The 22370-nt window shown below is 49.2% G+C and overlaps 1 protein-coding gene across 1 annotated transcript in view, besides 2 other annotated features; it reads right to left on the bottom strand.

Moving 5' to 3' along the window:
- Positions 1-5417, bottom strand: part of FABP6 (fatty acid binding protein 6) — a 51342-nt gene extending 45925 nt beyond the window's left edge. Inside the window, exon 1 of the mRNA NM_001130958.2 lies at positions 5344-5417. The gene's annotated coding sequence lies outside the window, so the exon portion shown is untranslated. The remainder of the gene's footprint in view (positions 1-5343) is intronic.
- Positions 4221-4320: a silencer, noted in NCBI's record as "silent region_16579". NCBI's record gives its function as "represses an Ori minimal core promoter by ATAC-STARR-seq in GM12878 lymphoblastoid cells {active_cell/tissue: GM12878}" and the evidence as "EXISTENCE:reporter gene assay evidence [ECO:0000049][PMID:35858748]".
- Positions 16557-17145: an enhancer, noted in NCBI's record as "H3K27ac-H3K4me1 hESC enhancer chr5:159602660-159603248 (GRCh37/hg19 assembly coordinates)". NCBI's record gives its function as "activates a minimal SCP1, AML or CMV promoter by ChIP-STARR-seq in naive H9 embryonic stem cells {active_cell/tissue: H9 hESC(naive)}" and the evidence as "EXISTENCE:reporter gene assay evidence [ECO:0000049][PMID:30033119]".

The raw sequence follows: 22370 nt of genomic DNA, 5'->3' as shown, positions 1-22370 counted from the left end.
GGCATTATCTCCAGCTACCCTTTGACCCCAGACGGCCTTTCAGTAGAACCTGGGCGCATGCGCCTTGCCTGGCCTTACTGTACAAGCACATTATCTCTGCCCAGTGGGCCAGTGAGTTCCTCAGCCAGGACTGAGCCTGTGTCTCTGTGGCTGCCCTGCTGTCTAGCACGGTGCCAGGCGCATAGTAGGGCCCAGTGTCTATTGGATGATTCTGTTTGCTGCAAGTTCATGATTTCCCATAGAGAGGGGATCCAGGCCTAATGGGCCATTAGCTCATCAGACATATGTTGAGCACTTACTATGTGCCAGATGTGGGCGAAGCCTGGGGACTTAGTGGAGAGTAAACACGCAAGGTTTCTGCAGGAATGGAGCTAACCTTGCCCTGGGGAAGATGCAGTGTGTGCAGAAAAATGTCAGATAGGGATGACTGCTGGAAACAGGAGAACACAGGGTGAGGGATAAGACTGGCGAGGCCGGGCACAGTGGTATGAGCCTGTAGTATCAGCCACTTGGGAGGCTGAAGGAGGAGGATTGCTTGAGCCCAGGAGTTCAAGATTAGCCTCGGCAACATAGCAAGACCCCATCTCTAAAATGTTTAATTTAGAAAAAGAGGACCAGTGGGGATTGCCAGGGAAGGCTGGCTGGGTAGGTGACATTGGGGCCTTTACCCTTGTGAATACTGGCAGGAAAATTCAAGGGGTCAGGTGAGGGAAAGGGGATATGGCTCCCTGGCAAGTTAGAGAAATAGAAAGCACTTTAAGAGGTCAAGGCGGGAGAACTGCTTGAGCCCAGGATTTCTTTTTTTTTCTTTTTTTTCTTTTTTTGAGATGGAGTCTCGCTCTGTCACCCAGGCTGGAGTGCAGTGGCGTGATCTTGGCTCACTGCAAGCTCCGCCTCCTGGATTCATGCCATTCTCCTGTCTCAGCCTCCCCAGTAGCTGGGACTACAAGGCGCCTGCCACCATGCCTGGCTAATTTTTTTTTTTTTTTTTTGTATTTTTAGTAGAGATGGGGTTTCACCATGTTAGCCAGGGTGGTCTGGATCTCCTGACCTTGTGATCTGCCCGCCTCGGCCTCCCAAAGTGCTGGGATTACAGGCGTGAGCCACCGCGCCCGGCCGAGCCCAGGATCTCAACACCAGCCTTGGCAATATAGTGAGACCCCATCTCAATTAAAAAAATTTTTTTAATAAATAAAAAGAGAAACAGAAAGAAAGCCATTGACGCTGAAGCAAAAGGAATGAGGGCATGAGAGGGGAACACAGTAGAGAGATGGGCAGGGTCTAGGTGGCACAGAGCCCTAGTAAGGTAAGGTTTGGGGTTTGTTTGTTTGAGATGGAGTTTCACTCTTGTTGCCCAGGCTGGAGTGCAATGGCATGATCTTGGCTCACTGCAGCCTCTGCCTCCCGGTTTCAAGCGATTCTCCTGCCTCAGCCTCCTGAGTAGCTGGGACTGTAGGCGCCCGCCACCATGCCTGGCTAATTTTTTGTATTTTTAGTAAAGACGGGGTGTCACCATGTTGGCCAGGCTGGTCTCGAACTCCTGACCTCAGGTGATCCACCCACCTTGGCCTCTCAAAGTGCTAGGATTACAGGCATGAGCCACTGCTCCTGGCCAGGTTTGGGGTTTTATTCCAAGTAAACAAGGAAATCTTCCAAGCCTCTAGGCAGGGATGTGGCATGATCTGATTTGCTTTTTTTTTTTTTTTTCCAGATGGAGTCTTGCTCTTGTTGCCTAGGCTGGAGTGCGGTGGCATGATCTCAGCTCACTGCAACCTCTGCCTCCTGGGTTCAAGCGATTCTTCTGCCTCCTGAGTACACCACGCTGGCTAATTTTTTTTTTTTCATGTTTAGTAGAGATGGGGTTTCACTGTGTTAGCCAGGATGGTCTTGATCTCCTGACTTCATGATCCGCCCGCCTCGGCCTCCGAAAGTGCTGGGATTATGGGCATGAGCCACCGTGCCCGGCCTGATTTGCATTTTTAAAAGATCACAATAACTTCCAAAGCATTCTATGGTTTCCCTCTAGCCCCAAAATAGATTCAGGATATATTTTCATGGATGAATCAAAACAACTTGCCAGTATAATGGACATAGGTTAAGGGAAGGGAGGAGTTCTCAAGGGCTCCTAGACTTAGGGCCCATGCAACTGGTTACTCTGAAGCTATTCCCAGTAGAAAGAGCTCAGTTTTGGGGTCAGGCAGGCCTAGATTTCAATCCTTACTTTAATCTCAAGCCTCAGTTTTCTCTTCTGTAAAACTGAGACACAGGCTGGGCGTGGTGGCTCACACCTGTAATCCCAGCACTTTGGGAGGCCAAGGTGGGCAGATCGCCTGAGGTCGGGAGTTCGAGACCAGCCTGACCAACATGGAGAAACCTCGTCTCCACTAAAAATACAAACTTAGCTGGACGTGGTGGTGCATGCCTGTAATCCCAGCTACTCGGGAGGCTAAGGGAGGAGAATCACTTGAACCCGGGAGGTGGAGGTTGCGGTGAGCCGAGATCTCACCATTGCATTCCAGCCTGGGCAACAAGAGCAAAACTCCGTCTCAAAAATAAAAATAAAAAAGCTACGACACGATGACAGTTGCACATAGAAGGTGTTAATTCTTGTCCCTTGACCAAAGAGGTTATAGATGTCCAGAAAAATAGCGTTCTGTTTAAGGTCTTGTTGCTGGATAGATAAGCAACTCCAAGTTTGTTCAGAGGCAAGTTTGTTCAGAGAGAAAGGAGGAAGATGAGTAGGGGCTCTGAAGGCAGATCTAATACAGCCAGTTCAAACCTTGGCTCTGAGCTCCTGTAAAGTAGGAATATGTCATTTTTATCTCCTATGCCTGAGATAATTAAATGAGCTATTGCACAGTGGGCACACACAGTGCCTTTGCTCACGAAATTTTGGGAGTGGATGGCCAGCAAGACACCATCCAAATCTCTAAGTCCACATCTTCTGCTGAGCATACATACCAACAACTTCCCAAAGAATAATATCCTTTATGCGATAGCTTCATCTGTATTCTCACTTCATTCCCACAACTATGCTCTGAGGTATGTCAGTAGTATATCTTAAAATTTTTTTAATGTTTTAATTTTTTGTAGAGATAGGGTCTCTCTACGTTGTCCCAGGCTGGTCTCCAATTCCTGGGCTCAATAGATCCTCCTGCCTTAGCCTCCCAAAGTGCTGGAATTACAGACATGAGCCACTGCACCCAGCCAAGGTTTAAAAGGCTGAAAAAAATAAAAAGAAGAATACAATTTCTTGGCCTGACGCGGTGGCTCATGCCTGTAATTCCAACACTTTGGGAGACTGAGGTGGGTGGATCACCTGAGGTCAGGAGTTTGAGACCAGCCTGGCCAACATGGTGAAACCCCATCTCTACTAAAAATACACAAAATTAGCCGGGTGTGGTGGTGGGCGCCTGTAATCCCAGCTACTAGGGAGGCTGAGGCAGGAGAATCACTTGAACCTGGGAAGTGGAGGTTGCAGTGAACCGATATCCTGCCATTGCACTCCAGCCTGGGCAACAAGAGTGAAACTCTTGTCTCAGAAAAAAAATAAATAATAAGTAAAATACGATTTCTTGACCTGTGAGAATCCAAATGTCAGCTGCAATAAACAAAGCTTCATGGAAACACATCATGCCCACTCGTTTATGTCTTATCCATGGCTGCCTTGGCTACAATGACGGAGTTGAATAGCTGTGACAGAGAGTGTGGCCTGCAAAACCCGAAGTATTTACTCTCTGACCCTTTATAGGAAAAGGGTGCATAAAGTGTGTACTCTAGATGTAAAAAGGAAAGAAGGAGGGAAAATAAAGAAAAACAAAAAAAGAAAAAGGGTGCAGAGCCCTGCTGTAAATCACAGCTGCAGGGCAACATTTTCTCTCAAGGCGGCAGACTGGATAAGCACCACCCAGATAATCCAGGGGCCACCCCAAGGGGATGGGGGAGGGAAGAGTTTCAAGTTCAGAGAAGGAAGGGAATTGCAGGGAACCGCTCCAACCGGGAGGGGCCTTGCAGAAATGAGTCCAGCCCCCTCTTTTTAGATGAGAAAATCTGAGGCCCAGAGACAGGAGGCAATCTGCCCAAGGCCACCCAGCACGTGGCTAACAGCCCGGTCCCGGCGCTGCCTCCTTCTCCGCAGGGAGAAGCCGGCCAAAGTCGGGGGTCGCAGCCCAGGGGCGACACCTCCGGGCCTGGGGTCTCCTCCGTTTAGCGGGGTCCCCGGAGGGTCGGTGCAGGCCGAGCGCCGCGCGGCGGCGGCCTCTCCCCAGCGGGAAAGGGGAGGCGCCTGCGGAGTGGCCTCCCTGCAGTTCCTGTTTCCCGCTCTTTGGCTTTGGAGCAAGGGCCCCCCAATCCCTCCCCCGTCCCCCACCTCCCACCGCCCAGTTCCAAGAGTCCGCCCTCAGCCAGCCGGCTACCTGGGCTGGGGATTTGCTAATGTTTTTTTCGTTTCTTTTTTACAAAGCACAGAAGACACACCCAGCTTCCTAGAGCTCTGAAGCAGCATTTGATCGCGTGTGGCTGAGGAAACTCGAGCTTGTAGCTGATAAGGAATCGGGAGGAGAGGCCGGGAGGGCATTCCTGGGGTGCTTGGCTCCAGCTACCCCATTCCACCAGGGCTTCCCGCCCCTCTGGAATCCTAGCCCGGCCCCTGCCTGCTTTTCTCCCGGGTGAATTGGGAGGGCTGCCCCAGAGGAATTCAGGAGATTCCCTCTCTTGTAGCCTGGAGAAATAAAAAATATTAGCAGGCCGGGGTCTCAGTGGCTCACGTCTGTAATCTCAACACTTTGGGAGGCCGAGGCGGGTGGATCACCTGAAGTCGGGAGTTCTAGACCAGCCTGACCAACATGGAGAAACCCTGCCTCTACTAAAAATACAAAATTAACCTGGCATGGTGGTGCATGCCTGTAATCCCAGCTACTTGGGAGGCTGAGGCAGAAGAATCGCTTGAACTCGGGAGGCGGAGGTTGTGGTTAGCCGAGATAGCGCCATTGCACTCCAGCCTGGGCAGCAAGAGCGAAACTGTCTCAAAAAATAAATAAATAAATAAATAAATAATAGCAAATATTTTTAAGGGTGCAGCTCAGAACAGTTGCTGGAGAGGAACTGTTGATGGAATGGGTAGACCCTTCAGCACTACAGGCTCAAGCTTCCCACAGCTCCCAGCTTCCATCACCTGCACCCTTGTTCCCCCAAGTCAGGGCTCTACTCCTGATCTGACTCGAGTTTTCCCTTTCCCCAGTTTCCCCACCCTTCCATGAGCTCCCCCCCAACCCCCACCCCGTGCTGTTGGTTCCTCAAGGATAACTTCTGGAGCCTCCCCTCTTCCCTGGACAGTCCCTTCACCTTTCTGCTCTGTAACTTGCCAGCTGCCTTCCTCCAGGACCCTGTGTCCTCCTTCTAGTCCCTTCAAAGTAATCTGTTTTGTTGTCGCTGTTGTTGTTGGAAACAGGGTCACCCAGCCTGGAGTGCAGTAGTGTAATCATAGCTCTCTGCAGGCTCTACCCAGCCTCCTGGGCTCAAGCGATCCTCCCGCCTCTTTCTCCTGAGTAGCTGGGACTACAGGCCGGTGCCACCTGTTTTTAATTTTCTCACACACCCTGTAGATCAGGGCCTGGGAGGTCAGTTCACTCTCTTGCAATCTTTTTTTTTTTTTCACTATGTCACCCAGGTTAGAGTGCAGTGGCCCAATCTCGGCTCACTGCAACCCCCACCCCCCTAATGCCCCACTCTCCAGCTTAACTTCCACCTCAACCTCCCAAGTAGCTGGGACCACCGATGGGCACCACCAGGCCCAGCTAAGTTTTTGTATTTTTGGTACAGACGGGATCTCACCATGTTGCCCAGACTGGTCTCAAACTCCTGAGCTCAAGTGATCCGCCCTCCTCGGCCTCCCAGAGTGTTGAGCTTACAGGTGTGAGCCACCACACCTGGCTCTTGCAATCCCTTTCTCCTCCCTTCTTCCAAACACATTACCACCTGTGGGTTCATTACATCAATCTTTCCTGCCCACAACTCTTCTTGTTCCTCTCTTTTGCCAGCTTCTTGGAGGTGGCCCTCACTGGTGTTGGGAACAGGTGCTTGGTGTCATAAAAAACAAAGGATCTCTCAGCAAGGCTAGTTTACTTTCTGCAGAAAGGGTGCCATCACTATCAGTAATTCTCGCAAGAGCACACACGAACAAAGGAGACAGGGTCATTTATAACCTGATGCATCCACCCTACTGCTGTGTCCAGTTTCCGTTGGCTGGAAGGGTACCTCACATTCTATACTTGTCCCGATTGGCTAGTCATTTAGAACTTTCCGAAAGAGGCAAAGGCAGAGGAGAACAAAGGAAGGAGGAAGCAACCTGTGGAATGCTGAGAAAGGTAAAAACACCTCCGAATAAGGAAGAGGAACAGGCTATGACCTACTGCTTGCTTGGATCAGTATAAGCACGCCAGGGCAAATATCTAGGCTAAAATGTGGGTGCTAAGAACACAAAGTACATTGATTTCTTTATTATGGCTAGCAGATTTCTAAGAATGTTAGCACAGGTCTTTGAATAAATTTTGCTTCTAAGAGAAGTTACTGTTTATTCCTAATTAGACGGGAAGGAAAGTCCCTTTGAAGAGGAAGCTCTACTTCACTTTCTGCACTGGTCAGAGTGGCTCACAGCTGTCTTCATCTTTATTCCTGTCACCACCACTTCAGCCTCCAGCTGAAGGACCCACTGACATGTGGCCTCTGTTTCTTAGTCCCTGTAATCAATGGTGCCCTCCACGCACCTCAGCCATCCTCCCACCATCACGTCCCTGCCTCCCATCCTAGCATCACACTTCCTCTGAAATTCCAAGGTCAGGGGTTCTCTTTGACCAGCACTTCCTCCTCCTGCCATTCATTTACTCCTCCCTCCAGCATATCTTCAACTTCATCTGGGCCCCAAATCCAATGTCCTTTGTTCCCCTCCCTTCCAGCCCTGTCTGTCCCCAGACAGTTCCCTTACCCAGATTCATCCACTAGTATTGGTTTTATATTACTTCCTCTTACTTAAAAGGCTTTCTTGCAAAGCTTTTGTTCTTTCACAGAAATGTCCTGGTTTTCCTCCTGCCTCACTGGCTGCTGCTTCTCACTCTCCTTCACAGGTTCCTCCTCTACTTGGCAAGAAAATATAATGTGCTCCCCCCAGGTGAGGTCCTGGAACTGCTTCTCTTCCTTGTCAACGCTCTTCTCCTGAGTGATTCCTTCCCATGCTGAGACATTTAAGAGCACATATAGGCTGGGCATGGTGGCTCACGCCTGTAATCCCAGCAATTTGGGAGGCCAAGGTGGGCAGATCACCTGAGGTCTTGAGTTCGAGACCAGCCTGACCAACATGGAGAAACCCTGTCGCTACTAAAAATATAAAATTATGCCCGGGCATGGTGGTTCACGCCTGTAATCCCAGCATTTGGGAGGCCGAGGCGGGCAGATCAAGAGGTCAGGAGATCAAGACCATCCTGGCTAACACGGTGAAACCCTGTCTCTACTAAAAATACAGAACAACTAGCCTGGCGTGGTGGCAGGCACGTGTAGTCCCAGGTACTCAGGAGGCTGAGGCAGGAGAATGGCATGAACCCGGGAGGCGGAGCTTGCAGTGAGCCGAGATCGCACCACTGCACTCCAGCCTGGGTGACAGAGCGAGATTCCGTCTCAAAAAAAAACAAAAACAAAAACAAACAAACAAAAAAAACAAAATTAACTGGGCATGGTGGCTCATGCCTGTAATCTCAGCTACTCGGGAGGCTGAGGCAGGAGAATCGCTTGAACCCAGGAGGCAGATGTTGCAGTGAGCCGAGATTGTGCCATTGCACTCCAGCCTGGGCAACAAGAGCGGAACTCCTTCTCAAAAAAAAAGTACATATAAGCCAATCACCCCATGTTTATTTCTTCAGTTCTGACTTCTCTGAACCCCAGATTCCTGTGTCCAGCCACTAACTAGACCTCTCCTCAGGGATGTCTGTGAGTGATCACGAAGCTTGTGTGCACTTTTTTTTTTTTTTTTTTTTTTTAGAAACCTTTCAAGCTCTGTAGAGAATGGCCTGAAATCCAGGCCCTGGGACACCCTTAGGCCTCTCACCCTCACTGAGTCTAAAATAGAACTTACCTCTCTTCCCCAGACTTCTCTTGCAGGGGTCTCATTCCCAGCCCTCGCCCACCATGTGCCTATCATGCCTGTTAGAAACCAGGCCTCCCACAGCCAGACACCATGGCTCACTCCAGTAATCCCGGCACTTTGGGAGGCCAAAGTTGGAGGATCTCTTTAAGTCAGGAGTTCAAGACCAGCCTGAACAAGATAGCAAGACCCCATCGCTACAAAAAAATTAGCCAAGAATGGTGGCACGCGGCTATGGTCCCAGCTACTTGGGAGGCTGAGTCAGGAGGATTGCTTGAGCCCAGGAATTTGAGGTTGTGGTGAGCTGATTGTGCCATTACACTCCAGCCTGGGTGACAGAATGAAACACCCCTGGCCCCTGTCTCAAAAAGAAGAAACAAAGGAAGAAAAAAAGAAAAAAGAAAAAAAGAAAAGAAAAGAAGGAGGGAGGGAGGGAAGGATGGAGGGAGGGAAGGAGGGAGGGAGGAAAGGAAGGAAGAAAGGAAGGAAGCAAGCAAGCAAGCAAGCAAGCTGGGCATGGTGGCTGATGCCTGTAATCCCAGCACTTTGGGAGGCGGAGGCAGGCTGATCACCTGAGGTCAGGAGTTTGAGACCAACCTGGCCAACATGGTGAAACCCCCATCTCTACTAAAAATACAAAAATTAGCTGGGCATGGTGGTGGGTGTCTATAATCCCAGCTACTCGGGAGGCTGAGGCAGGAGAATCACTTGAACCTAGGAGGCGGAGATTGCAGTGAGCTGAGATCACGCCATTGCACTCCAGCCTGGGCTACAGAGCAAGACTCCGTCTCAAAAAAAAAAAAAAAAAAGAAAAGAAAAGAAGAAAAGAAAAGAAACCAGACCTCCCCATACCTCTCACTCCTAGATCTAATCAATCATTAAAGACCTTCCTTATCTCTGGAAACTCCACCAAACCAGCCTCTAGGCATCTACCTCTTACCCCACTGCATCCTTCCTCCAGACCCCAAGCTTTCTATGTACAAATCCATGCTACCATGCCTCATACCACGCAGTGGCTCCCATTTGTCTCCTGGCTAAACCCCAAACTCCAGCCACTTCTGGAATCTGCAGTTCCACCTCTCATCCCCCCTTCCCTGTGGTGCTGCTTGGGTGCTCTTGTATGCCTCTGGCCTCTGTATGTGCTGGTCCTGGCTCCTCTCTTTGCCTGGACAACACTTATTTGTCCTGCAAGACTCAACTTGGCCTTCTCTGCCCCATATGTCTAGATCATGCCATAACATTCAATGTTCACCTGTACCATGCTGGAATTGCTTGTCTGTCTGTCCTGTCCCCCAAGTGGAAGGTAAGCTACATTGGTCTTGTAATCAGGGGCCTGGCACATGGCAGGAGCTCAATATTATGTGTGTTGAATGAGTGAATGAACGGATGAATAAGTGGATGAATCAGTCTGGATGCCAAGCACGGAGGTGGCACATTACACAGCTGTCATAGTGTGGAATGTGGGGGTGGTGTTCATCACATTCATGTAGTGGATAGGCTGAGAGCTTTAGCTTTGCATTGAAACAGTCAGGAGTTTCTGACATTATTTATGTGTGTGACATGGGGCAGGTCACTTGGCCTCACTGTGCCTTGGGTTTTCCACCTGTGAAACAGGATGATAATATCACCTTGAAGTGTTTGCAATAAAAAGCATGCCCTTGGAGGGCTCAGCAGACAGTTTCTGCTGCATAGAAGAATGACAGTTTTGCTTTGTAAATCGGGCTGATGGTACCTATCTCCCAGGATTGCTATGAGAATAAAATGAAATAGGCCGGGCATGGTGGTTCACACCTGTAATCCCAGCACTTTGGGAGGCTGAGGCGGGTGGATCACCTGAGGTCAGCAGTTTGAGACCAGCCTGCCCAACATGGCGAAAACCCGTCTCTACTAAAAATACAAAAATCAGCCGGGCGTGATTGCGGGCGCCTGTAATCCCAGCTACTCGGGAGGCTGAGGCAGGAGAATCGCTTGAACCCGGGAGGCGGAGGTTTCAGTGAGCCAAGATCACACCATTGCACTCCAGCTTGGGTGACAGAGCAAAACCCTGTCTCAAAAATAATAATAATAATAATAATTAAAAAATGAAATAATGTTTGTAAAGCAGTTAGCACAGTGACTGTAGTTTTGGCTGTAATTCCTAGGGCACACTTGAGTCCCATAATATAGTGTGACAGGCAGGAAACCTTGGTTCTCCATGAGTAACTCAGAGACAAATTTCTTCTCTCAGATGCTCGGTTTTTACATCTGTAGAATGGGTCAGTTCATCGGGTTCTCTGGAGGTCCGAAATGCCATGATTCTGAGTCGTGCCTGGTCCTTATCATCCCTGATACTGCTGGGCACTCTCTTACTGCTTTTGAGCCCACTTTCCAAGGAAAGAGGAAAGACTCCTCTGTCTCTCCAACTCTGCTCCCTCAGCCTCATCAAAGCTGATTTACTCGGTGACTCATCCCCTCTGAGGTCCCTGGTCCCTGTGCTTCCGGCTTTCAGTGGGTGCTAATGGGTCAATATCGGAGACACTAATGGAACCTACAGGAACCCAGTGTCAGTTCACTAATGGGACGCCCCATCTGCCCGCCCTGTAACCTAATGCCTTCACCCTACTAAAAGGCACTTGGGGATTTCCTGTTGGCTCCAATCTGCTGGTTTCTGACATCTTGAAAGTCAGAGGACAGGAAGGGTCAGGAGGTGGATTGATAGATGGTGGGACAGAGTGGGAGACGATCTGAACCAGCAGTCGGGATATATCTGGGCTCCCATACCAACTCTGCCACTGACTTGCTGTGTGAGTTTGCACAAATCCACTTCTCACTCTGGGGCTCGGTTTCCCCATTTGTAACATGAGGCAGGTTGGTCTATGAAGAACTTGCTGGAGCTGACATTCTGGAATTATCATATAGCATTGCTTTTGCACCTGAGAGCTGAATGTCTTTTCAGCGTCATTCAATTCCAAAACCTACTGAATACCTACTATGTGCCAGCCTATACCAGGCACTGAGGATCAGGGGTGAATGAGGCACAGTTCCTGTCCTAGGAACTCTCAGGCACCATCTCATCCTGCTACTATTTTTCTTTTCTTTTCTTTTCTTTTTGAGACAGGGTCTCACTTTGTCACCCAGGCTGGAATGCAGTGGCTTGAACACAACTCACTGCAGCCTCAACCTTCCAGGCTCAAGAGATCCTCCCACCTAAGCTTCCAAAGCAGCTGGGACTACAGGTGCACACCACCACACTTGGTTGATTTTTATAGTTTTTGTAGAGATGTGGTTTCACCATATCGCCCAGGCTGATCTTGAGCTCCTGAGCTCAAGCGATCCATTCACCTCAGCCTTGCAAAGTGCTGGGATTACAGGGGTGAGCCACTATGCCCGGCCCTGCTACTGTTTTTCTATTCACAAAACAGAGGTGGAAAGAGAAGGAAGGCTTCCGCACTTCCTGAAGATCCCCTGTGTGCATGGCTAAGGGCCCAGAGAAGATAAAAATGGTTTCAGATCTTTCAGTCCTTTCGGTTCTCTGACTATACCATTTTCTCTTGACTCCTGGCCCTTGTACAAGCCATTCCCTATGCCTGGCATTATCTTAGCTCTCAATTTATTTTTCAAGTCTCACCTTCATTCATTCATTCATGCATGCATTCATTCATTCAATTCACATGGAGAGAACACTTACCTTGTGCCAGTCTGTGGGATTGGGATCTAGGAGTGAACAAGATATACTCTGTCCCTGTTTTATAGGAGCTTGCAGATTTTTGTTTTATTTCTTATTTTTATTTTATTTTTTATTTTTTAAAAATGGAGTCTTGCTCTGTCACCCAGGCTGGAGTGCAAGGGCACGATCTTGGCTCACTGCAACCCTCGCCTCCTGGGCTCAATTGATTATCCTGCCTTAGCCTCCAGAGTAGCTGGGACTACAGGCATACGCCACCATGCCTGACTAATTTTTGTATTTTTAGTAGAGATGGGGTTTCACCACATTGGCCAGGAAGTCTTGAATTCCTGACCTCAAATCATCGGCCCATGTTGGCCTCCCAACCTCCTGAGACTACACGCATGAGCCACTGTGCCTGGCCTATTTTTATTTTTTGAGACAAGGTTTCATTCTGCTGCCCAGGCGAGAGTGTAGTGGCATAGTCATATCTCACTGCAGCCTCAGCCTCCTAGGCTCAAGCAATCCTCCTGCTCAGCCTCCTGAGTAGCTAGGACTACAGGCATGTGTGCCACCACGCCCAGTTAATTTTTTATATTTTGTAGAGATAGGCTCTTGTTTTGTTGCCCAGGCTGGTCTCAAAATCCTGGACTCAAGCATTTCACCTGCCTCAGCCTTCGAAAGTGCTGGGATTACAGGCATGAGCCATCATGGCTGTCACCCCCGCATCCCCATCTTTTTTTTTTTTTTTTTTTTTTGAGGCAGAGTCTCACTATCGCCCAGGCTGGAGTGCAGTGGTGTGATCTCGGCTCACTGCAAGCTCCATCTCCTAGGTTCACACCATTCTCCTGCCTCAGCCTCCCGAGTAGCTGGGACTACAGGTGCCTGCCACCATGCTCAGCTAATTTTTTGTATTTTTAGTAGAGACAGGGTTTCACCATGTTAGCCAGGATGGTCTCGATCTTCTGACCTCGTGATCTGCCTGCCTTGGCCTCCCAAAGTGCTGGGATTACAGGCGTGAGCCACTGGAGTGCAGTGGTGGGTCTTGGCTCACTGCAACCTCTGCCTCCCGGATTCAAGCGATTCTCTTGCCTCAGCCTCCTGAGTAGCTGGGATTACAGGCGCCCATCACCATGCCCAGTTAATTTTTTTTTTTTTTTTTTTTGAGACAGAGTTTCACTCTTTTACCAAGGCCAGAGTGCAGTGGCGAGATCTCGGCTCACTGCAACCTCTGTCTCCCAGTTTTAAGAGATTCTCCTGCCTCATCCTCCCAAGTAGCTGAGATTACAGGTGCACACCACCACACCCGTCTAATATTTGTATTTTTAGTAGAGATAGGGTTTTACCATGTTGGCCAGGCTGGTCTCGAACTCCTCACCTCGTGATCAGCTCGTCTCGACCTCCCAAAGTACTGGGATTACAGTCATGAGCCACCACACCCAGACTCTAATTTTTGTATTTTTAGTAGAGACGGGGTTTCACCATGTTCGTCAGACTGGTCTCGAACTCCTGACCTCGTGATCTGCCTGCCTCGGCCTCCCAAAGTGCTGGGATTATGGGTGTGAGCCACCACGCCCATCCCCCTCTCCTGCTGGGCATGGGGGCTCATGCCTGTAATCCCAGCACTTTGGGAGGCTGAGGCAGCAGATCACCTGAGGTCAGGAGTTCGAGACCAGCCTGGCCAACATGGTGAAACCCCGCCTCTACTAAAAATACCAAAATTAGCCGGGCGTGGTAGCATGTGCCTGTAATCCCAGCTACTTAGGAGGCTGAAGCAGAAGAATCACTTGAACCTGGGAGGTGCAGGTTGCAGTGAGCCTAGATCGTGCCATCACACTCTAGCCTGGGCAATAGAGGGAGACTCGGTCTCAAAAAAAGGTTAAAAAATAATAATAAAAAAACAAAAACCAGACTGGACACAGTGGCTCGCACCTGCAATCCCAGCACTTCGGGAGGCCGAGATGGGCAGATCATGAGGTCAGGAGTCTGAGACCAGCCTGGCCAACATGGTGAAACCCTATCTCTACTACAAATACAAAAATTAGCCGGGCATGGTGGCGTGCACCTGTAATCCTAGCTACTCAGGAGGCTGAGTCAGGAGAATCGCTTGAACCCTGGAGGTAAATGTTGCAGTGAGTCGAGATCGTACCACTGCACTCCAGCCTGGTCAACAAGAGTGAAACTCAGTCTCATAAATAAATAAATAAATAAATGAATAAATAAATAAATAAGAGGGTCTTGCTATGTTGCTCAGGCTAGACTTGAACTCCTGGGCTCATGTGAACTTCCTGCCTCAGACCCCTGAGTGGCTGGGACTACAGGTGCACATCACTGAGCAGTTTACAGATTTTTATGGGAGGGGACAGTCAATTAAACAATTTCATTTAAGAAAAGGAGGTCGCTGGAGCGCAGTGGCTCATGCCTGTAATCCCAGCACTTTGGGAGGCCAAAGTGGGCAGATCACCTGAGGTCAGGAGTTCGAGACCAGCCTGGCCAACATGGAGAAACCCCGTCTCTACTAAAAATACAAAATTAGCCAGGCATGGTGGCATGCGCCTGTAATCTTAGCTACTCAGGAGGCTGAGGCAGGAGAATAGCTTGAACCCGGGAGGTGGAGGTTGCGGTGAGCCAAGATCGCGCTATTGCACTCCAGCCTGGGCAACAAGAGTGAAACTCTATCTCAAAAAAAATAAAAAAAAGAGAGAAAAAGAAAAAGGAGGTCAGGCATGGTGGCTCAAGTCTATAATCCCAGCACTTTGGAAGGCTGAGGTGGGCAGATCACTTGAGGCCAGTAGTTTGAAGCCAGCCTGGCCAACATAGTGAAACCCCGTCTCTGCTAAAAACACAAAAGTTAGCCAGGCTTGGTGGCGCATGCCTGTAGTCCCAGCTACTCAGGAGGCTGAGGCAGGAGAATTGCTTGAACCTGGGAGGCAGAGGTTGCAGTGGGCCGAGATCGCGCCACTTCACTCCAGCCTGGGCAACAGAACAAGACTCTACCTCAAAAAAAAAGGGGGGTGCGGAATTTAAGTTAGGGTGAACATGGGAGGGACAGAAACAAGGGCTGAGATAGGTGGGGTAGGAGCACTCTGGGAGGAGGCAGCAGCATATGCACAGCTGGGAGACAGGAAGGATATGCCTCTTTAGAAAAATGGAAAGACTGGGGCTAGGATCAGTGACCCATGCCTGTAATCCTAGCACTTGGGGAGGCCGCAGCAGGTGGATTGCCTGAGCTCAGGAGTTTGAGACCAGCCTGGGCAACATGGTAAAACCCCGTCTCTACTAAAATACAAAAAATTAGCTGGGTATGATGGCACGTGCCTGTAATCCCCGCTACTAGGGAGGATGAGACGGGAGAATCTCTTGAACCTAGGAGGTGGAGGTTGCAGTGAGCCGAGATCGTGCCATTGCACTCCAACCTGGGCGACAGAGCAAGACTCTGTCTCAAAAAATAAAAAAGAAGAAGAATGGACAGACCAGTGTGGCTGGATCAGAGGAGGCCAGAGAAGAGGCAAGAGCAGGAAGCCAGCACTCCCATGTTTGGGTAGGTGCATCCCCTGGACACCAAGCTCCCTTTCCCTCCCTGTCACAGCAGCTGTCACACTGGATTGTCATTGCCTGCTCATTTCTCTGACTCCCCAACTAAACCTTAGATTCTCGAGGACAGAGATCACCTCCTGTAAGCATTGTACCCTCTATTCTTAACTCACTGCATAAAGCAAAATCACCATTATCCACAAAGGCTGCGAAACAGTCTCTCCAGGCTTCCCTAGCTCAGTACATGACCTACACCAGCATTCATTAGGAGGCTCAAATGAGATAATAGAATGGACACCTTGATTGTGATCACCCTCCTCCCAGGTAACCAGGAAAAGACCTGTCCCTGTGCCTCCCAAACCCTCCTAAATTTGCTATGGCCACCACCGGAGCCCAAGCCACCATGGTAGCTGCTCTCTCTCCTATTTCCCCCGTCAGACTGCTCCTGTGCTTAAAGTGTTGGCAATTAATTCCTTTTTTTTCCAGCTATACAGACCAAAAAGCAAACAAAAACAAAAGCACAGTCACTTCCCACTGTGCTTAAAATAAAACCTTTATGCCAGCCTGCAAGCCCTAGCTGATCTGGCTTGTCTGTGTCTCCAAGCTCATCTCCTATACGCTCCCCTTCCTTTTGCTTCTCCACAGTGGTCTCTCTTTTCTTTTTCTGATTCTTACATATTCCAAGGTTTATTCCTGCCTCCAGGAACATGTGCTGTTCCCTCTAGCTAGAATGCTGTTTCCCCAGGTTTTCACCTGACAGCCGCTTCCTCGTCCAAACTCAGCTCCCAAGTCCCCTCCCTGAAAGGGCCTTCATGACTACTGCCCCCTCCATCACCCCTCGCCATTTTACATCCTCTTAGCTCTCCCTAGGATGTCCTTGTTTTTTCATTCAGTTATGTGTCTGTCAGTCTTTCCTCTCTCAAAGATGAAGTGCTTGAGATCAGAGACCTTACCTGTCTTGTTAGTGACTGTGGCCCCAGAACCTGGCCCAATGTAGGCCTTCAGCTATCAGTCGTTGAATGAATGAATTTATTGATCTCTTTTCTATGCTAGGCTCTGTTCTAAGCAGTTTACATGTATTATCTGGCTGAATCTTGCAATGGCAACCTTGAGAGAAGCTGCAACTTAGGCAGGTGAAGAGACCTGCCCAAGGTCAGGCAGCTAGGAAGGAATGGAGCCTGGATTCAAACCAGCCTGCCTCCCAAGACCACACTCGCAGTGACAATGGAGTGCTGATCCTCCACAAGCAAAGCTTCATGTTGCACACATGAATGAATGAATGAATAGGCAAATTACAAACACCTGAACTGAGTGGCATGACTGAATGACAGACATTTCCAGCTTTAAGAAGTTCACTGTGTTCATCTACTTGGGCCTCTGTTTTGGAGTGGGGAAAGAAGAGAGCACTCATTCATTGAGGGACCAGTGCGCACCAGGTACTGTACCAGTGACACTTGTGGCTACCTGCTCTGCCCAGAGTGCTGCCACCACCAACCCAGGCATGGGGGGACTAAGGGGGCAACCCCAGGGAGCATCGCATCCCGGTAGCTGCGGGCTCTCCCCGGGGCAGCTCTGCTATCTTGTGAGAGCCTTGTCTCTGGCTGGCTGCCACCCGCCTGCCAGCCCAGCATCTTAGCTCATCAATCACGTGGCTGCTCTCTGCCAGGCTGGATCTCAGAGGAAGACAAGTCTGCTGAAGACGGAATGGGCCGTAGGCTCAGGAGGGAATCGAAGCCACTGAGGGGGAGGGAAGGGAGGCCCAGAAAGACAGGCAAGGTCTGGATCAATCCCCCCTCAGCTAAGAAGGGTCGATTGGGGGAGGAAGGGAGGGCAGGGTTTCCATTGGAAGAGCAGTGAGAAAGGAGAGGTGGAGAAAATGGCTGGTGTGGGCGGCGGAGGTGGGGGGGTTCCCATTGCAAAGGAAATTCAGCCTCCCCTGGTGCCCTGCCAGCTCCCTGCACCCCAGGGAGCAGACTGACTCTGGGAAAGCGGGCAGGTTATGGCGGCTGATTTATCGCAGGCCCAGCTGCCTTCCCGCACCTCTCGAGCTCCCTGTGACCTGGCTTCCCAGCAACCCCTATTCCCCAAATAACCTCTGGAGGGGCTTAATGAGGGGAGGCTGGATACCTCCATCTTCCCCACTGCCCTCTCCTTTCTCCCATGTCCACCTCTTGGGAGTGGAATTTATGTTGTCTCCCCAGAGACTGTGCTGAAAGTCAAGATGTCTGAGCCAAAGACTCCTTAGAGATCTGCTAGTCCAGAAAGACAAATCAGCAGCCCTTTGCTGTTGTTTTTGTTCTGCTTCTCAGTCTGCACAGTTAAAAAAAAAAAAAAAAAAGAATTAGTTGCCAACATTTAAACAGAAATAGGTTGCACATAAAAATCTGATTTCTGATTTCTCTTAAAAATTCCAAAGATCTGGCCAGGGACAGTGGGTGTTGCTTGTAATCCCAGCACTTTGAGAGGCTGAAGCAGGTGGACTTCTTGAGCCCAGTAATTCGACACTAGCCTGGACAACATAGCGAGACCCTGTCTCTATAAAAAATGGAAAACTTAGCTAGGTGTGGTGTTGCGTGCCTCTGGTCTCAGCTAGTCAGGAAGCTAAGGTGGGAAGATTGCCTGAGCCCAGGAGGTTGAGGCTGCAGTGAGCCAAGGTCACGCCACTGCACTCTAGCCTGGGTGACAGTGTGAAACCCTGTCTCAAAAAAAAAAAAAAAAAAAAATTCAAAATCTGGCAATTCTGGGCTGGCCTTTCCCTGAGCTAAGTTGAAACTGCTCCAGACAGAGCCAACAACTGTGCCCACTTCGCCCTTTTGTGTTACTGACCAGGCCCCTGTGGCTTTGAGTTTTCTACCCCTCGTGCATTCCAAAGTGCTCACTGAGGAAACTCAGGTTTACAGTGGGCACGGACTTGAGTGGGGACTCATGAATGGCAGCCCTGGAGCTGAGAAGCCACTTGGTTTCATATTGCAGGCATGCCTCTTATGAGCTGTGTGACTTTGGGCAAGTAGAAGAACCTCTCTGAGCCTCGGTTTTCTCATCTGTGAAACAGGGATAATGGCAGTATCTTGTGAGGAATAAAACAGATACTGTGCATTTAACATTTAGTACCATCTCTTGTATGTTTACAAGGAAGATACTCTGAATTTCGAATAGGTAATGCATGTGGTAATGTAAATGTTCCAGTTAATATTCACACACACACCAGAGTGTAGTGGATTAAAACAACAATGTATTATGATCTCTTGTGGTTTTATGTCTTGACCCAGTTCAGATGAGACCTGGGGTCTCAGGTGTTGTTGCAGTCACATGGGAAAAACATCATCTGAATGTTTGACTGGGACTGAACTTTTTTTTTTTTTTTTTTTTTTTTTTGGAGACAAGAGTTTCACTCTTGTTGCCCAAGCTGGAGTGCAATGGCACGATCTCGGCTCACTGCAACATCTGCCTCCCAGGTTCAAGTGATTCTCCTGCCTCAGCCTCCCTAGTAGCTGGGATTACAGACATGTGCCACCACACCTGGCTAATTTTTGTATTATTAGTAGAGATGGGGTTTTACATTGTTGGAGAGGCTGGTCCTGAACTCATGACCTCAGATGATCCACCTGCCTTGGCCCTCCAAAGTGCTGGGATTACAGGTGTGAGCCACCGCACCTGGCCTAGGATTTAACTTTTTTTTTTTTTTTTTTTTTTTTGAGACAGAGTCTTGCTCTGTTGCCCAGGCTGGAGCACAGTGGCACAATCTTGGCACACTGCAAACTCCACCTCCTGGGTTCAAGCAATTCTCTGCCTCAGCCTCCCGAGTAGCTTGGATTACAGGTGCCTGCCACCATGCCTGGCTAATTTTTGTATTTTTAGTAGAGATAGGTTTCACCATCTTGGCCAGGCTGGTCTTGAACTCCTGACCTCATGATCCACCTGCCTTGGCCTCCCAAAGTGCTGGGATTACAGGCGTGAGCCACCATGCCCGGCCTGGGATTTAACTTTCAAGATGCACACTCACATGGCTGGCATATGATATTAGCCGTGAGCGGGGAGCTGAGGTGGGAATGTGAACTGCAGTGCCTCTGTGGGGCTGCTGCATCTGGCTTGGGCTTCTCCCAGCATGGTGGTGAGGATCAGAGAGAGAGCATGCCAAAAGCAAGCAATCCAAGAGAACGAGAAGCAACTGCATGACCCTTCCATGACCTAGCCTTAAAAGTCGTAAAATGGGCCGGGCGCAGTGGCTCACAACTGTAATCCCAGCACTTTAGGAGGCTGAAGCGGGTGGATCATGAGGTGAAGAGTTTGAGACCAGCCTGGCCAAGATGGTTCAACCCCATCTCTACTAAAAATACAAAAATCAGCCAGGCACAGTGGCAGGTGCCTGTAATACCAGCTAGTCGGGTGGCTGAGGCAGGAGAATTGCTTGAACTTGGGAGGCGGAGGTTGCAGTGAGCTGAGATCGCACCACTGCACTCTAGCCTGGGCAACAGAGCAAGACTCCGTCTCAAATAAGAACAAAAAAAAGTCATAAAATGTCACCCCAGCCATTCCTGATTGGCCTATACCAATTGCAAACCTACTCAGATTCAATGGGCAAAGACATAGACCTCACCTCTCAAAGAAGTCTGGGACCATGTTTTAAAACCATCACGACGGCTAGGCACAGCGGCTCACGCCTGTAATCCCAACACTTTGGGAGGCCAAGACAGGCAGATCACCTGAGGTCAAGAGATCAAGACCAGCCTGGCAAACATGGTGAAACCCTATCTCTACTAAAAATGCAAAAATTAGCTGGGCATGGTAGCGGGCGCCTGTAATCCCAGCTACTCAGGAGGCTGAGGCAGAATAATCGCTTGAACCCAGGGGGCAGAGATTGCAGTGAGCTGAAATTGCGCCATTGCACTCCAGCCTGGGCGATAAAAGCAAGACTCCATCTGAAAAATAAAAAAATGACCACAACATATATGAAAACTGAGAACATAAGTTTGCCTTTCACTTTGTCCCCTCAGGGCCGACTTACTCCCTGTTGCAAAAATCATTACTAATCAATTTCTTGTGTGTCTTCCCAGAGAGTCCACATATAAATAGGTGTGAGAATTATACATATACAGATGTCTCTACTATCTACTCTAGTTATCCAAATACTATTCCAACGCAGAAAACTAAATGGATTCAGACCACCTCTTGGATGAACTATCTGCTATCTGACTCTTGCTGTTTGCTGTCTGAAATGAAATGTAGGAGTCAAAGATTCCAGTAATGTAGCATTCCTTGCTTTCTGAACCCTAGATATCTGAATTCAGAAACCAAATAGATTTAGATAGCAAAAGATGATTTCATAAATACACACAAACACCTCTTCTTAGCACCCCCCACAAATGTGAGTATAACGGACACACTGTTCTTACCTTGCATTTTTCACTAACAACTTGTCTCATATGTCAGCCTGTTTCAGCACATCTACATGAACCTCATTTCTTGTAAGAGCACAGAGCATTCCATTGTTCAGGTGCATCATAATTTGTTTAATTAAATCACCTCCTACTGGCCACTTGGTCTTTTTTTTCTAGTCTTCTGCTAATCACAATCCATGCTGCAGCAAATAGCCTTCTTCTGAAGTCTTTATGCGCTTTTGCAAGATTATCTGTGTGATAAATCCCTAGAGACAGAATGCTGCGTCAAAGGGAAGTGTTCCCATATCCAGCTATGCTCTATCCTGCCAGAGCAGGCTCAGACCCCATATCTCTTGTGCTCTGGCCAGGATCTTTTACCTTTACTCATACTGTCACCTGTGGGATCCTGCCTGCTTCCAGAACAGCAGGTAGCAGCTGCTTCCCAGCTACTCACTAAGGTCATACAGAGGTCTGCATGTGTAAGGGGAATAAGGGGACCCCACAAGGCTTTTGCAAAAGAACGTCATATGGAGCTGGGATCTCACCTTACTTAAGTGCCTCCTGATTTTCAACAACTGCTGCATCTGCTTCTCTCAGACCCCAAAGCAGTTGCTGGGGTGATTTAGGCTGCTCCTATTCCCTTTAAAGAGAAGGGCCGGCTGGGCGCATTGGCTCACGCCTGTAATCTCAGCAGTTTGGGAGGCTGAGGAGGGCAGATCATGAGTTTGAGACCAGCCTTGCCAATATGGTGAAACCCCGTCACTACTGAAAATACAAAAATTAGCCGGGTGTAGTGGTGGGTGCCTGTAGTCCCAGTTACTCAGGAGGCTGAGGCAGGAGAATCACTTGAACGTAGGAGGCGGAGGTTGCAGTGAGCTGAGATCGTGCCACTGCACTCCAGCCTAGGCAACAGACAAGACTTCGTCTCAAAAAAATAAAAATAAAAAAAAAGAGAGAGAAGGGCCAGGCGAGGTGGCTCATGCCTGTAACCCCAGCACTTTGGGAGGCCGAGGCGGGTGGATCACTTGAGGTCAGGAGTTCAAGACCAGCCTGGCCAACATAGTGAAACCCTGTCTCTACTTTTAAAAATACAAAAATTAGCCAGTGTGGTGGCATGCACCTGTAGTCCCAGCTACTCAGGAAGCTGGGGCAGGAGAACTGCTTGAACCTGGGAGGCGGAGGTTGCAGTGAGCCAAGACCATGCCATCGCACTCTAGCCTGGGCGACAAAGCAAGACTCCATCTCAAAAGAGGAGAGAGCTTGCTTTTTATGGCGGGTCTGCACCCAGCAATGTAGAGCTGTCTGTAGAGGCTTCTAGATATGAAAATGTAAAGGGAAGGAGGCACCATCAGGGCCCCCAGTTGTTGCCCCTTCCCTTGCTTTTCAGATATCACATGATGTACCACAACTGCTGGGTTCTACTTCAGGGCACACTAACCTCAATTCCTTCATTTTTTTTTTTTTTTTTTTTTTTTTTTTGAGGCAGAGTTTCGCTCTTGTTGCCCAGGCTGGAGTGCAATGGCGTGATCTCGGCTCACCGCAACCTCTGCCTCCTAGGTTCAAGCGATTCTCCTGCCTCAGCCTCCCTAGTAGTTGGAATTACAGGCATCAACCACCACGCCTGGCTAATTTTTTTATTTTTGGTAGAGAGGGGGTTTCACCATGTGGGCCAGGCTGGTCTTGA

The sequence above is a fragment of the Homo sapiens genome, chromosome 5, assembly GCF_000001405.40.
Source record: "Homo sapiens chromosome 5, GRCh38.p14 Primary Assembly".
Taxonomy (NCBI): domain Eukaryota; kingdom Metazoa; phylum Chordata; class Mammalia; order Primates; family Hominidae; genus Homo; species Homo sapiens.
Note: the sequence above shows the minus strand (reverse complement) of the source record. Positions and strands in the feature narration are given on the sequence as shown.